At 54.7% G+C, this 15689-nt stretch overlaps 1 protein-coding gene across 6 annotated transcripts in view, besides 7 other annotated features; it reads left to right on the top strand.

Moving 5' to 3' along the window:
- The window catches only part of FAM167A (family with sequence similarity 167 member A), a 54433-nt gene that overhangs the window by 15290 nt on the left and 23454 nt on the right, over window positions 1-15689 (top strand). The window contains exons 1-2 of one of the 6 annotated variants that reach the window (XM_005272398.6): window positions 13846-14216; window positions 15049-15199. The exons of 3 other annotated variants lie outside the window; for them this stretch is intronic. The gene's annotated coding sequence lies outside the window, so the exon portion shown is untranslated. Of the gene's footprint in view, window positions 1-10281; window positions 10620-13845; window positions 14217-14603; window positions 15473-15689 lie in introns of those variants that run through there. 2 more of the 6 variants (XM_024447292.2, XM_011543837.2) reach the window with 2 other exon arrangements.
- Window positions 2482-2731: an enhancer, noted in NCBI's record as "active region_27008". NCBI's record gives its function as "activates an Ori minimal core promoter by ATAC-STARR-seq in GM12878 lymphoblastoid cells {active_cell/tissue: GM12878}" and the evidence as "EXISTENCE:reporter gene assay evidence [ECO:0000049][PMID:35858748]".
- Window positions 3502-3561: a silencer, noted in NCBI's record as "silent region_18930". NCBI's record gives its function as "represses an Ori minimal core promoter by ATAC-STARR-seq in GM12878 lymphoblastoid cells {active_cell/tissue: GM12878}" and the evidence as "EXISTENCE:reporter gene assay evidence [ECO:0000049][PMID:35858748]".
- Window positions 3712-3811: a silencer, noted in NCBI's record as "silent region_18929". NCBI's record gives its function as "represses an Ori minimal core promoter by ATAC-STARR-seq in GM12878 lymphoblastoid cells {active_cell/tissue: GM12878}" and the evidence as "EXISTENCE:reporter gene assay evidence [ECO:0000049][PMID:35858748]".
- Window positions 7184-7759: an enhancer, noted in NCBI's record as "H3K4me1 hESC enhancer chr8:11310369-11310944 (GRCh37/hg19 assembly coordinates)". NCBI's record gives its function as "activates a minimal SCP1, AML or CMV promoter by ChIP-STARR-seq in primed H9 embryonic stem cells {active_cell/tissue: H9 hESC(primed)}" and the evidence as "EXISTENCE:reporter gene assay evidence [ECO:0000049][PMID:30033119]".
- Window positions 7760-8335: an enhancer, noted in NCBI's record as "H3K4me1 hESC enhancer chr8:11309793-11310368 (GRCh37/hg19 assembly coordinates)". NCBI's record gives its function as "activates a minimal SCP1, AML or CMV promoter by ChIP-STARR-seq in primed H9 embryonic stem cells {active_cell/tissue: H9 hESC(primed)}" and the evidence as "EXISTENCE:reporter gene assay evidence [ECO:0000049][PMID:30033119]".
- Window positions 8336-8911: an enhancer, noted in NCBI's record as "H3K4me1 hESC enhancer chr8:11309217-11309792 (GRCh37/hg19 assembly coordinates)". NCBI's record gives its function as "activates a minimal SCP1, AML or CMV promoter by ChIP-STARR-seq in primed H9 embryonic stem cells {active_cell/tissue: H9 hESC(primed)}" and the evidence as "EXISTENCE:reporter gene assay evidence [ECO:0000049][PMID:30033119]".
- Window positions 8354-8403: an enhancer, noted in NCBI's record as "active region_27007". NCBI's record gives its function as "activates an Ori minimal core promoter by ATAC-STARR-seq in GM12878 lymphoblastoid cells {active_cell/tissue: GM12878}" and the evidence as "EXISTENCE:reporter gene assay evidence [ECO:0000049][PMID:35858748]".

Here is a 15689-nt window from a genome sequence, read left to right as displayed (position 1 = left end):
TTGCTCTTGTTGCACCAGGTGTGGAAACGGAAGCTTCTATCCTGAGCTGAAGTGCAACCATTAGCATAGGACACTGCAAACCGGGCTCTGCTGGGAGACAGTCCCCAGGGAAACGTGGGCGAGTCGGCGCCTCTACTCCCTGGCCCCGTGGGGGTGGCTCCATGACATGGTGGTCCCACTACCTGCTGCTGTGGGCTGACTCTGCATGTGTCAGGGTGGAAGAGGGCACGGAGGTCATCACACCCAAACCAATGGCTTAGGGTGGGATGGGACCCCAGTAGCTGACTCCCAGGTCGGGAACTCTTTTCTCTTCCACACCAGGCTGGCTCTGTCCAAAATGTTTCTCCCGCTCCCATCGGCAATGCTGGGACCCCAGGCAGGAGGCACCGAGGGCTGCCTAAAGCCGGAGTGTTAGGGCAATCTACGGGTGCAGCCCACTAGGGCGCCTGCCCCTCCCAGAGCCCTGTAGTGGGTTTCATGCCATGTACCCATCCTCTCACACTGGTGGCCCCAGCATCACAGCTGTCCCTGGGACTGGCCCAGGAGCCACCTCCATCAACCAAAACAAGCAGACAAATGAAATGAGTCCCTGGCCTGGTGCGGTGGCTCACGCCTGTAATCGCAGCACTTTGGGAGGCCGAGGCAGGCAGATCACCTGATGTCAGGAGTTCAAGACCAGCCTGGCCAATATGGTGAAACCCCGTCTCTACTAAAAATACAAAAATTAGCCAGGTGTGGTGGTGGGTGTGGTGGTGGGTGCCTGTAATCCCAGCTACTCAGGAGGCTGAGGCAGGAGAATCACTTGAACCTTGGGAAGCAGAGTTTGCAGTAAGCCGAGGTCGTGCCGCTGCATTCCAGCCTGGGTGAGAAGAGCAAAACTCTGTCTCAAAAAAAGAAAAGAAATGAAATGAATCCCTGTTCCAGTTGAATTCCAAAGAGTCGTGTGACTTGTCCAGCGTCACAGGTTGTTAATGGCAGAACTTCCCTTAGGCTGAGGTCCCCTCACTGCCCAGCCCTGCCCAAGGACTAAGACCCCAGCCCCGGAAAGAGGCCCTCCTGCCACAGCAGCTGTACTCACAGCACCCACGTGCTTGGCACTGCAGACCGAGGCGCTCGGTCTCTTCTTCCTCTTCTGCCCAGAACAATTTTACAGAAAAACAAAGCATTGCCTTGGGAATATTTCAGTGTTATTTGCCCCTGAGGTTTCTAGGAACACTGGACTTGTAAGTACTATAAAGCTCACATGCCTGTTACTTCTGTGCAAATGGAGCCACCTGAAAGATGGTCACAATGGTGGAGTTGGGGAGACTTGAGCTGGAATGGTGGTTCCTTCCCTGACCTGCTTGTGAACTGTGGTTTCCTTGCCTGCAGTAGAGATAATACGAGACACTAGATAATACCAGTCATGCCTCAGGGTCATTTCAAGGGCTAAACTAGATATTGCACAGTGCCTGGCACAATAAAAAAGGTCTCCTCTTTTCCTCCTCCTTCTAACAATTTTCATTTATTTCTGTATAAATGAGAAATAGAGAAATGGGTGATAGAGAGAAAAGTAGTCATTCATGCGTTTATTTTATTATCAGAAAGTATGTGTTGAAGTTGTACTGGTTATACCCAGCAGGTGGCCATGAGCAGCAGGGGGAAGAACTGGGGGCGAATTCGCCCTCCTGAAGCCCAGGCTAGTGTGGGCAGTGCCGTTCCAGCCTCTCTTGATGGCAAGAGAATCTTCTGGTGCATTTCACTGGGAAGTTCAGCTCTTTAGGTTCTGCTGGGCCTAAGGGCTCAGAAGATGTCAGGATGCTCTCTCTTTCTCTCTCTTTCTGTTTTTTTTTTCCCTTAGTTCGCCTTACCTCAGGCTTATTCCCTTTTTACTACAGACGGGCTTTCTCCAGACTCTGGAAACTCCAAGCTTATATCCTCCCAGCTGAGCTGCTCCTGATGAAAATACCCTATTTCTCCAAGTGTCTGTGTTTAAATCCCATGAAAATATTCTGATTGGTCTTTTGTGGCCCATTGCACATCCCCAGGCCCAGTCACTATTGCCAGAGTAAGGGCTAAAATGAACGTCTCTTTCTAGGTGTCGTGAGTGTTCCTGGGGCAGGGGTGATGGGCAGGTGCTGTGACTCATGGTCCCTTCAGAACCACCTGAAATTAGACAGGAGTGATGCCCACAGAAGGGATGCTGGAAAAAGATAGATCTGTTCACCCGAGAGGCACATCAGAAATGTGACTCAGTAAAACCATCCAGCAGGTGCACTGCTGCACTGAGAGTGGGCAGGAAAGTGCTCAGATCCAAGTGTGAAGGGAGGAAGCCATCAGCTCCATTCGGAAGAGCACAAAAGACTGTCGAGTGAGGTGCTGTTTGATCCAGGCTTGAAGACTGAGTCAAATTCAAACATAAGGCTATCGCGGAAGGATGAGACATAAAGTTGAGACCAGCATCCCAAACCACCCCATCTCAACTCAAGAAAGATGACTCAGCCACCAGAAGCATTCTGACTTTGAAAGTCTTACCCATGAAGCTGTGGGAGGTCTGCTGGGGAGATGTCATCTGGAGCTGTGAACGACTCTGGCTGGACTTTGTTCGCTGACTTCACCGCATCAGCGTCATCAGCACACACTGAACATCTGCTGTTTACAGGGCCCTGTGCTCGGGACACAAAAGGTGCAGCAGTGTCCTGCCCCTCAAGGAGCTGATGTCTGGTCAGGAAGACAGGACCACAGACTCCCACAGTTCAAGGTCATGCGGGCCAGTGTGCAGTCAGCATGAGGAAAGCAAGTGACTGGAGAATTCAGAGAAAGGTGGCCTGGAAGGTGGGGAGTGTGAGAGGGCTTCAGGGAGGAGGCGAGCCCTCGGATGAGCTTTCAGGCAGTGCAGGGCCTAGCTCGCCAGTGAGGGCCAAAGACAAGGACAAAGGGCCAGATGGACTGCCCAGAAAGTCCTCTTCATTCATTCATGTACCCACTCTCTTACTCAGCAAGTTTCCTGAGCACCCGCTGTGTGCCGGGCACTGCTCTGAGTGCCGGGGTCACAGTCAGGAACAGAATTCGGAAGCCCCTGCCTGCTAGGAGCTGGCATCCTCAAGGGTGGGACACACAGACACCAACAAACATCACGGAGTAAGTGATGAGCTCCGGAAGCACCAGGAAGGCGAGCGCTGGGCTCCATCCTGTGGCCCAGGCTGGGGTTTGCGTGGAGATGAGGTTCAAGCAGAACCAGGCATGAAGCAGCCAGCATATGACATTGTGGCACAGCATCAATGTCCTTCAGAAGAGACTGCCGAGTTCTCACAAGGGTGTGCAGCAGGGAGGGGAAACCCCGGCAGCAAACAGGAGGCTTCCAGGAAGGGGGAAGGCTAGTGCTGTCCTGGCTGGACATGTGCCAGAGGGAATGCTTACCCGGCAGGGTAGACCACAGGGGTGCTTGGAGAAAACCCCAGGAGCGCTGTCCTGTGGAGCCCTGATCCCACCCACACCCCTAACCCAGCCCCGCCCACTTCCCCAACCCAGCCCCGCCCATTTCCCCAACCCAGCCCCGCCCACTTCCCCAACCCAGCCCCACCCACTTCCTTAACCCAGCCCCGCCCATACCCCTAACCCAGCCCCGCCCACTTCCCTAACCCAGCCCCACCTACATCCCTAACCCAGCCCCGCCCACTTCCCTAACCCAGCCCCGCTCATACCCCTAATCCAGCCCCACCCACTTCCCGAACCCAATCCCCCCATTTCCCTAACCCAGGGCCCAACTCACTTCCCTAACTCAGCCCTGCCCACTTCCCTAACCCAGCCCCACCCACGTCCCTAACCCAGCCCCACTCACTTCCCTTAGCCAGCCGCACTCCCCTAATCCAGCACCACCCACGTCCTTCACCCAGCCCCGCCCATGTCTCTTACCCAGCCACACCTACATCCCTAACAGCTCTGCACATGTCACTAACTCAGCCCTAGCCATACCCAGAGCACACACCCAATAGAGCAACCACCTCACACTCGTATATTCACACACCTAGCAGGGCAGCTACCCACACTCTCACACTCATCCACCCAGCAATGCAACCACCCCCCACACTCACACTCACACACCCAGCAGGGCAGCCAGCCCCCACACTCACACTCACACACCCATCAGGGCAACCACCCCCCAAGCACTCACACATACAGCAGGGCAAGTACCCACACTCACACACTCATACACCCAGCAAGGCAACCACCCCCCACACTCACACACACACCAGGCAGGGCAACCACCCCACACACACACCCAGCAGGGCAACCACCCCACACTCACACCCATACACACCCAGCAGGGCAACCACCTCACACTCACACTGATACCCACAAGGCAACCAACCCTTACACTCACACACACAGCAAGGCAACCACCCCCCACACTCACTCACACTCACACAGCAAGGCAACCACCCCCCACATTCACACACACACACAGCAAGGCAACCACCCCCCACATTCACACACACACACAGCAAGGCAACCACCTCCCACATTCACACACACACACAGCAAGGCAACCACCTCCCACACTCACACTCACACACAGCAAGGCAACCACCCCACACTCACACTCATACCCAGCAGGGCAACCACCCTACACTCCCACTCATACCCAGAAGGCAACCACCCCCCACACTCACTCACAGCAAGGCAACCACCCCACATTCACGCACACCCAGCAGGGCAACCACCCCTCACACTCACACTCACACTCTGCAAGGCAACCACCCCACACTCACACTCATACCCATAAGGCAACCAACCCTCACACTCACACTCATACACAGCAAGGCAACCACCCAACACTCACACAACCCCAGCAGGGCAACCACCCCCAATACACTCACACTCATGCACAGCAAGGCAACCACCCCCGACACTCACACACTCATACACCCCGCAGAGCAACCATCCCCCACACCCACACTCACATTCACACACAGCAAGGCAACCACCCCCAACACTCACACCCAGCAGAGCAACCACCCTGCACACTCACACTCAGGTGAGGCAACCATCCCACACTCAAACTCAAAGCAAGGCAACCACCCCCCACACTCAGACTCACACACCCAGCAGGGCAACCACCCCACACACTCACACTCACACACCCATCAGGGCAACCACTCCCCACACTCACACATACCCAGCAGAGCAGCCACCCCCCACACTCACACACACCCAGCAGAGCAGCCACCCCCCACACTCACAATCACACTCACGCAAGGCAACCATCCCACACTCACACTCCTCACACTCATACACAGCAAGGCAACCACCCCCCACACTCACACACACCCAGGAGGGTAACCACCCCCCCCAGACACACACAGAGCAAGGCAACCACCACCCACACTCACACAGCAAGGCAACAACCCCACCACAGTCACACACACACACAGAGCAAGGCAACCACCACCCACACTCAGCAAGGCAACAACCCCACCACAGTCACACACACACACACGCACACACACATATCCCAGCAACCCATCCCTGCCACGTGCAGCACTGGGGCCGGGGTCAGGTCTCGGCAGGATGTCATCTCCATGTCAGGGCTCCTGACACCGGCTCTGACCAAGGCTTGGAATGCAGATGAGGCTGGAAAGGCAAGAGATGAGCGCCAGGGCTAGACAGCAGGGTCCCTCCTGCTCAGTTGCCATGGCAACCCCGGAGGAGGAGGGGACCACTAGGGCAGCCTGGCTCCCGGCAGCAGCTCTGTGGGGCCCAGGGCTGTGTCCCTGTCCTCTCGGCTGCCACCTGGTCAGTGCTGAGCCCAGCCAGAGGCCAGCCCAGTCCTGTCTGGTCCTCTGGGTGAGATAAGTGTTGGGTTTCTGATTAAACCCGGGCAGAAAAGCCTGCACACCCCAGGCTCGCCTCCCTAGGCCGACTGTGGAGCCATGTCCCAGACCTCCTAACCTCTTACTCACCCAGAACAAAGGGATTTGCCTTTTCAGAAAACAAAAGGAAAAGATGCAGGCATGAGCTTTGCCCTGCACCACCCTGAATTTTCTGTGTATGAAACCCCTTAGAGCCTCTGCACTCCCTTGGCTGTGGGGCTGGCCTCACTGTTCTCTGGCCTCTGAAGCCACCGCAGGTCCCAGCTCATGGCCCCTGCCTTTGTCTCCGGTTGAAATCAGGGCTGTGCCCTCTACTGATGGGCCTGGCCTGGCTGAAACCGCAACATCAGGGCAAGGTAGAGTGGAGATGCCTCTTCCTGCCACCCCTGCACCAGACAGGTGTTGACGGAGGAATCAGGAGATGCTGTCCTTGAGTGAAGCCACGAGTCTCTCTGATGTGGAGTTTTAGGCTTGGTGACACACACAGCAGGCTCAGCAGAGGAAACAGAGCGCTTTGCACACACACGTGGGCCTCCGCTCTCCAGCCAAGCCCACCCTGGCTTTGGCAGCAGAGCCATGGGCAACCCAGACGGTGTCGGGGTCAAGAAGGTGAGGCCGGCACTAAAGACATCCCATCCCCCAAGACCTGCCCTGCTGAGGATCCTGCAGGGCCCTAAGTCACAGTGTAGCTAATTCTTCCTTCCAGAAATTTCTGGGAGAACCCAGTTATACCTGCAGATGGAAAGCTTTCCACACGCGTGATAGCTAGTCCTGCCAGATAGTAGGTTCTAGAAGATGGCACAGCAACCCCAAGGAGTGTGGGCAGTAGGCTCTGGGCTGTCACTGAGGAGCCCCGGGCCTTAGGCTGGTCACATAGGCTGCCACCTCGGTTTGCTGCATGATGGGGTAAGAAGACCCAGCCTTCCCTGCAGTGTTTATGTGCTGCGGTGTAGACGTGCTCCATAAACTCAGTGAAGGTGGTTCTGCTGTGGAGTGGCCAGCGTCATAGGACAGCACAGAACCAAGACAGAGCTGGCTATCTCGGGGGGCAACTTGATTCCCAGAGGACACTCTTGCTTTGTTCTGTTTGAGTAGACCATGGGGAGGGTCACAGAGCCTCTGACCCGGTCCTGGTCCCCAGCTCAGCCTTCCTGGCTCCTGCTGCAGCCCTCCCCTCCACCTCCACAGGGAGCTGTGCATCTGCTGGTTTCAGTCCTTGCCCTGCCAGGTACAGTCTGAGTGCCACTGGGCCCGTGCCTTATCATCTCTGTGCCTCGGTCTCTTCATCTGTGTAATGGGACAATCATAGTGCATACTTCACAAGATTCTCATGCAAATAAGTGAGGTGCTATCTCCTTATAGTGCCTGGCACATATTGAGTGCTTCATACATATTAGCAGCTTGACAGTGTTACTAAAATGTTATTTAGAGTCAGGCATGGTGGCACATGCCTGCAGTTCCAGCTACTTGGGAGGCTGAGGCAGGAGATCAGTTGACCCCAGGAGTCTGAGGCTGCAGTGAGCTGTGATTGTACCACTTGCGCTCCAGCCTGGGCAACAGTGAGACCTCATCTCAATAACAAAGTTACTTAGTAGGAAAGTTATTAAGGGGCAGGATTCGAGTTGCATTTTAGAAGGATAACCGGCAGCAGGACAGAGGAGAGGAAGCCTGGAGGAGGGAGCTTTGTGGAGAAGGGGACAGCGTCCAAGTCCCCAGGCTCAGGCTGAGGGGTCAGGAGTGCAGGGGAATGGGGGCAGCCGTGATGAAGGGGACAGAGGGGGGAGATCACCCCAGCTTTCCTGCAGCAGATCTGTGTTCTGGGAACCAGCCAGCCTCTGTGGCCTCCACTTTCTCCTGCGTGAAGTCAGAAGGACGTGAGGCCCGAATGTGTGTGCTGATGCTCGGTGAACTCTGAGGAGACCTACCATTGCTCAGCCCGTGCTGGCACTGGGGAACGTGCCTGCACATTCCCCCAGCATTCATAGATGCTAAATAAAGCACCCTTTTTTCTGGGCCAGGATCTCAGGCCGTCACGTCTGTTTATGGGAGCTTGGGCTTCGGTTTCATGAGAAAAGTTATCTGTTTCCTCACCTGTAAAATGGGGATTTGAATAGGGTTAGTGCACCTCTTTCAGGCTGCAGAAACAGACCCGAGGCAACCTCGTGGGGTGGAGGCTGATGATGAGAAGGGAGGGAGCTGCAGGTGGAGGAAGCAGCAGCCTGTGGGAGACAGATGCAGCCACAGGCTCACTCCTTCATGCTCTTTCTGCCTCTGCTCACCCCCTCTCCCTCTGGGGACTGTCACAGTCCTGAAACAGCCCAGAGGCACCACTCCCAAAAGAGCACAGCTCACCAGACTTCTCGGCCCTTCAGTTGTTTGCCCTGATGTCCGGCTGTAGCCCAGCTGGGCTGGTCTCATGACCCAGCATGTATCCATTTTGCACAGGGAACCATGGGCGGCGTTTCTGCCAGAGGAGCAGAGCAAGGATAAATTCACTCATATGCGAAATTGTCATTCTGTCCTCATCAAGCATAGCCTGTCATGGATTGTGAGTTAGGAGACAAGTCAACTCTGCATGTGGACAGACTCAGTAAGATTTCATTAGGAGGACAGTGACCATCCACCCTGTGGTTCTCAATGGGAGGTCGCACAGCACCCCCTCCCTGCCCCCCACCACCAAGGGACACGTGGAATGGTGGCAGAGGGAGCCTTTTGGATTGTCATGACATTTTATGACACTGGTTTGCTCTCAGTTGTATATTTTCCTCACCAAATGAGTTGTGCTTCCTGTCTCATTTCAGTTACAGCTCTTGGTTGTGAGCAAGAGAAAATGACATTATTGTAAGGCTGTCAGGTGCCCACAGAATTGGCAGGAGGTAAAGACCAGAAAACAGGCAGAACCAGGGCAGATCCAGAAGGCAGAGGCAGGAGATCCCGGGCCAGTCCTTCAGCAGAGACAATTTGGCTAAGAGGATGCCACCGCCCCTGCACTTCACATTTGCCTCCAGGGTTGGTTCACAGATGCGCCCTAACCATCCCTTCCTCTGAGACTCACACGCACCCAATTCAGAGTCGGGGCCTGAACAGCTGACTGGCCAAGCTCAGGTCACATGCTCACACCTGGTCACCAGGGCATGAGCTGGGAAGAGGAGCACGTGGTCCTCTGGTTGCAGAGAAGGCTGCACGGCCTGCCTGCTGTTCTGCACAAAATGGGGAGCTCCCTCCACACAGGAAAGGAGAGGGTGTTGGATATGGCAAACAGACACACAGTCCAACGAAAGACAAATAGCAGCAAGCATCCACTGTGCTCTTTAATATTCCTTCTCCAGTGCGTGCTGTGTCAGTCACTTACGAATGTCAGAAACCCCATCTCCAAGTAGCTGAAGCAAAAAAGGCGGAAGGTATACGCTGTGTAACCTGGGCAGGGCGGGTGGCTTCCCACGGGGCCCAGCTGCGGGCCCCCAGCTCCTTGCCACTGGGCTGTGATGGCCAAGCTGCCACACTGTCGGCTTGGCTTTGCTCTCCAGTTAGACCCTTTCCCCACATGTGCTGAGCATGGTGGCCCCAGCGGCCCCGGCCAGCTCAGAGCAAGGCTGGCCTCTGAGTGGTTCTGACACCAAAACTTCATCCTGTGTCTCCCCACGCCCCAGGAGAAAGGAAACCCCAGGGATGGGCTCCTGTGGGAAAGGGGGATGCACTTTCCAGAAGAGGGAGGAAGCTGCTGGATGGAAATGACCTCATCCTGCACTGGACTCCAAGGAGGCCCTCAAGCTAGGTCTGTCACATCAGACTGTCCCCTCCAACTCCAGCACATAGTCCTGGGATTTGGGATGAGCTGCAGCTGTTCCTGTCTTTGTCCCACTGCAGGCCCAGAGCCTGCACACCTATGTCTGGACACTTGTGGTCAGGGCAGGCAGGGTGGGTGGCATCCGTGGGGACAGGAGGGGAGGCACCATCCCAGGAAGCCTGGGTGTCTTTTTCTGCCTCTCTGAGCCCATCCAGGCTGGCTCAGATTTGAGCAAGGACAGGTCGCTGTGAGTGGGAGGAAATCTGTTTTATTGGCTCATTCATTCCACAGCATTTAAAGAGAGCAGCATTGTGCTAAGTACTGGAGGGTCCAGCATAAAAGGCTTGGTTCTCGTCCTGAAGTTGAGAGTCTGCTAGAGGCGACCATTGACAAAGGCCCTGGGTGTAAGTGCTGTGGCTTAAGAGGGGCAGTAAGCCCAGTGGTTAGGGGCCAGCTCAGAGCTAGACTGCAGAGGTTCAAATCCCAGCTTCACCACTTATAAGCTCTGTGGCTTCAGGCAAGGTCCCGAACCTGTCTATGCCTCAGTCTCTTCATCTGTAAAATGGGGATGATGATACCCCAGATTCATAGGGCTGTTGTGAGGATTAAATGTGTTAATACATGTAAAGCTTTTAGCACCACAGCTCGTGTGGTGTGCTGTAAGCATTAGCTAATGTTGCGATGACATAATTGTTTCTCTGATGTGCTCGGGTTGTCCTGGGTACACACAGCCCAGCCTGGGCAAATCAAGCAAAACTTCCCCCAGGAGAAAATCCCTGAGAACTGAACTAAGGCACAGAAGGGAGTGAAGGGCTTTCCAGGCTGGAGGAAAGCTTGTGCCGAGTCAGGGGTGTGAAAGAGCATGGTGTCCGGCGGGACAGGAGTGCTGGGTCGGGGTTGGAAAGATTGTGTCTTATGGAGAAGAAACGAAAGGGTTCTAGTGGAGAATGCGAGGCTGGAAGGAACAGCAGGAGCGCGTGGTGAGAGGAGGTGTGGAGGGGATGGGTCAGCAGTGCCTGCGTCTTCCCCTGCCCTTGGGAGCCCATCGAGGAAGTGGATGTGACCGTTTTCCAGGTGAACAGATTAGGTCATAATGAGACAAGGTGTTGGCTGAGCTGCCCCCACCTGGCTCCTCCAGCAGCCAGAGGAGTTAGCTCATGGTTGGCGAAGGCTCCTCCAAGGAGCCGCTGTGGGCCTGGGAGCCAGGGAGCTTGTTGGAACAGCAGTCTCTGTGTGTGGCATGGGTCCTCGGCACTGGCACACAGAGCTGCAGAAAGGCTGACGCGCCCCCCCAAGGGCTTGTCCCCACTGCTGCTGGGTGGCCTGCCTGGCGGGGCGTGCCTGGGCCTGGTGGGATTACAGGGTCTGATGTCGTTTTTCTAGACACCCTAGGTCCCAGGTCTGGCAGCGTCCTTTGGCTTCCTTCTCCGGCCCCTCCACCCCTAGGAACGACCCAGGTTACATGTAAAGAAAGCCCGTTTGTTTAGAGTGTTGGGGGGCTCTTCCTCCCGGGGCCTGGGCCCCAGGAGTCCCTGGTTTGTCAAGCGAGGGGAGGCCTCCACTGCTTTTCCAGCCCAGGAAGCTGCCCAGTGCTGGCATCTGTTCCCCGGCACCCGGCCAGCACCTCTCTGCCGGCTCAGGCCGGGTCCAGCTCAGTGCCCAGTGAGCAGTGACAAGCTTTTCTGCTGTCACGTCCCTGCGCCTGTGTGGGTGACATTCCAGCTGAGCTCCTGTGCCTAGTGGGAGGGAAGAAACCCCTTTGGGCTTGTTCAGGCACCAGGGCACCCAGGGGGACAGTGCTCCCCAAACACTGACGACCAGGAAAACACATGCTGCTTGAGCAACTCCTCGCGGTCTGACTGTGCTGGGGGCAATCCCATTCCTGCAGCAGCTCCTCACCATCTGGCTGTGCTGGGGGCAATCCCGTTCCTGCCAGCTACGGGTGACCACCTGCTCTAAAATAGTGACTCCCCAACTCAGGCCTCTCCACATTGCACACACGCCTATTCAGGTGGGTACAGCTCTTTACAGTTTAAAGAGAGCTCTCACATACCAGGTTCCATAGATCCTCAGCCATTGCACAGATTAGGGAACTGAGGCCACGAGGAAAGGACTGAGCCTGGGTGCTCGGCTTGTCAGCAGTGCTGGGACCAGAAACCAGGCTTCTGGGGCCTGGCCTTGGTCTGCCATGCAGAGAGCACAGGGTGGAGTCTCTCCAACACCCCGAGCCGTGGGCGGGGCATTCACAATGTGAGCAGAGAGGGAAGGGAGCAGGCATGGAATGGTTTTAGTAAGTGGAGCTGTTCTCTCCCTTCTATGGCAGAACAGACTCCACTAAGTTTTGAGACCTGAAAATCTGGGGGAGGTGGGATCAACTGACTTCGTGTCGTTTGGTGTCCAGGGAAGGATGTGAGGGGGCAGGGATTGTCTTGGGCCACCCAGCAGGTCAGAGACCAACAGAGTGTCTGCTCAGTGCAGTTGGAGGGTCATGATCTGTCATGTGACGGTGATATAACTCTGATAGGTTATGTCATCTTAATAATGACATTTTAAAAACCATGACTAAGGCTACATGACTATGTCTAGGGCTTCCTGTAGACCAGGCAGTGTGCTGAGAGCTCACATTTGTAACCTTATTGAATCCCTGATTAGGACTTACGAGGTAGATGTTATTATCCCCAGAACTAGCCTCATGGCTGTGGGCAGTGGCACAGGGCCCCTCGTGTGGGTTCATGCTCTGCTGTCCCTGTCTTGAAATTCTTAGAACTTTTTTTTTTTTTTTTTTTAAGACAGAGTCTCGCCCTGTCGCCCAGGCTGGAATGCAGTAGTGCGATCTTGGCTCACTGCAACCTCTGCCTCCTGGTTTCAAGCGATTCTCCTGCCCCAGTCTCCCAAGTAGCTGGGATTACAGGCGTGCGCCACTACGCCCAGCTAATTTTTGTATTTTTAGTAGAGACGGGGTTTCACTATGTTGGTCAGGCTGGTCTTGAACTCTTGACCTCGTGATCCACCCGCCTCGGCCTCCCAAAGTGCTGGGATTACAGATATGAGCCACGGCGCCCGGCCAATTCTTAGAACTTTTTAAACAAGGAGCCCCGCATCTTCGTTTCATACTGAGCCTTGTGAATTATGTAGTCGTTCCGGTTGTTCTCATTTCTCAGAAGAGGACACAGAGGCCCAGAGTGGTCATGAAGCAATGTGCCAGCGTCACAAAGCCAATGGCTGCCCTGGAGCTCTAACCCAGAGCCCACACTCTCCAGAGTAGAAAGAGGCTGAGACAGAGTCAAATGACTGTGCCCAGGTCCAGCTGCTGGCACCTGCCTGTGACCAGGAGGTGAGGCACTTCACCTGCCCTAGCCTCGATTTCTCCTTGGTGAAATGGGGTGATCCCGCCTGCCTCTGGGGGCTACTTTGGGGCTCACATGGGCAGATGTGCACACTGTGTTTTCTGCACTTCACCAAGCTCAGCAGATCTGAGGACCATCACTAGCTGGTCACAGTTCACAGGGGCTAATGCCCGTGCCACCAGATGGTCCTGACATGGTCTATGCAGGCCTTCACCTGAGGTCAGCAGTTCCAGACCAGCCTGGCCAAGGTGGTGAAACCTTGTCTCTACTAAAAATACAAAAAATTAGCTGGGTATGGTGGCAGCTGCCTGTAACCCCAGCTACTCGGGAGGCTGAGGCAGGAGAATCGCTTGAACCCAAGAGGTGGAGGTGGCAGTGAGCCAAGATCACGCCATTGCACTCCAGCCTGGGTGACAAGAGTGAAAACTCCGTCTCAAAAAAAAGAAAAAGAAAAGAAACCAATAATTGAAATAAATTGTCTGCAATACAGTTACAGACTTGTAGCAGTTTCCTACCCTGAGAGGAGCCCCTCACCCAGCAGTGGTAGCCCAGTGGGATGCCCTCACCTCTGCAGTGGGAGCCTGCTGGTGGGGGAGGGGGTGGGCCACCAGGGCTCCTCATCCATGTTATCTCCTCACAGAACTCAGGGCGGGAGGGTGCTGCTCATCCGCCTGCAGTTGAATCCTCTCCAGGAAGCTTTGATGGATCTAATCAGAGCTCCCCTGCCAGGGAGAAGGAAGCCCTGTAGGTGCAGCTGCCCCAGACATGCTCAAAACAGATCCTGGCACCTCAGCAAAGAGGCAGACGGCGCCTGGGAGGGGCCCCAGAAAGCAGCTGATAAGTCTTTAGATTTGGACAGATTCTGACCGTGAAACTGCACAGGAGACTCCCATGAGTACATTTCGCATTTGCGGACTTAGCGTGCTAAGTCTTCAGAGAGTGCCGGTGAATTTTAGTTCTGCCAATCTGCTAGAACATAGGAGGTTGGTATTTATCACTCCCATTTTACAGATGAAGAAAATGAGACTTAGCAAGCCTGACAAGACGTAGAGCTAGGCCATCTGATCCCAACTCTAGTGTCTGCATCTGGAGACAGTGGTTCTCCACCCCGGCTGCACACTCGGATCATCGGGGGAGCTGAACACTGCTGTCTAAGTCCCATCTCTCGACCAATTGAATCAGAATCCAGTTCCTCAGGGGGATTCTCGCTTGCTCCAAGCAGAGCTGGAGGTGACAGCGGGTTTCTCTGCTTACCAGTTGGGGTGGACTATTCCTTCTCATTCTCCATGGATGCCCCTTGCTAGGGCAGGCTCGTAGCCTAGGGCGGCAGAGGTCGGGCAGCAGGACGTCCTCCATTCACATCCCCACCACAGGCTGGGGCTGAGGAAAACGTCTGGACTGGAAAGTTCTGCTCTCCTTTCTTAAGCGTCTGCGTGCCATGTCGGAGAGGAATCCCAGGACACCGCGAGGTGGTCCTGCTGCCTGTTCAGCTTTTGCCACCCTCATCTTAATTCTTTTCCCTCCTATCCTCACCTCCCTTCTGCCCAGTTCCCCTCACTCCAAACAAGTAATCATGACTATGGCTATTCCCTTCCTTTTTTTTTTTTTTTTTTTTTGGCCGGGATGTTTTTAGGCATTTACAAGTCAGTAACAATCCCTCTTTCTTTCTCCTTTTTCACCCCAAGGGTGGCCTACTCTCCAGGCTGCTGAGAATCTTGCTTTTCTTCATTTAAGCTTTATCTCAAACATCATTCCATATCAATTCATTCTTTTTTATAGCTGCATGTCCCCCAGCACAGATTTTTTTTTTTAAAACACACCCTTAAAATCCAGGGCTTACCACCTGGGTCCAAATCAGATGTCTCCTACTCTGATTCACCCATGTCCACTGCCCACCCCATGGACCTCGGACCACAGAGTCTGGAGGCTGCGGTCTCTTCTTACTGGGAGTTAGATTTCTACCCTGTGTCTGATGTTATGGGGTAGGAGCTGGGGCTTATGCCTCCTCTCTGGAGATGGGGAGGCCACATCAGATCCCATAGCTGAAGTCTTTACCAAACAGGTGCTGCCATGCGGGCACTTAGGTGAACACGAGAAGCCTCGTTCTAGAACAATGAGTCACAGCCTGCTTGTTTAGCCATCCAGCCCAGGTGCCACCGCCTTCTTCCCTCCACAGCTGCAGGTTTATTTGCTTCTGTCTCTGAAGAGGTGAGGTAAGGTGTTGTTCTTGGAGGAAGAAGCTAGGAGCGTAGAGTAAGACCTGGATGTAGAAACGGCTGCTGGAGGACAGGACCTGTGGTGGGTGGAGGTGGTGAGGGGGCAGTGGCACCTGGACGGAGCAGACCCACCTTAGCCTGTGTGGGGTGCGGTTTCCCTGCTGGCTGGCTCTGGGGACCCCCCGGCTGTTGCCACAGAGAGGAAAGACCTGTGGCCTCAGATTCAGACAGCCTGAGCTTGTCCCCACAACTTATTGCTGGGAGATCTCGGTGAGTCATTTAACTTCTAGGATATGTGGGTTCCTCGTGTGTGAAATGAGAATAAAAACAAATCCCTGCAGACTTGCTGGGGGCATTAAATAAGATAGTAGAGGCGGAGTCGTTTTTATATAAATGGTAAAACACTGCACAATTTTTCAATTGCTCATTAACTTCTCTGCATTGAATTAAGGCATTAAAATGATCTCACTTCCGTCCCGGACTAGCC

Source organism: Homo sapiens, chromosome 8, assembly GCF_000001405.40.
Source record: "Homo sapiens chromosome 8, GRCh38.p14 Primary Assembly".
NCBI lineage: Eukaryota > Metazoa > Chordata > Mammalia > Primates > Hominidae > Homo > Homo sapiens.
The sequence above is the reverse complement of the archived record's forward strand: the minus strand, read 5'-3'. Positions and strand labels throughout refer to the sequence as shown.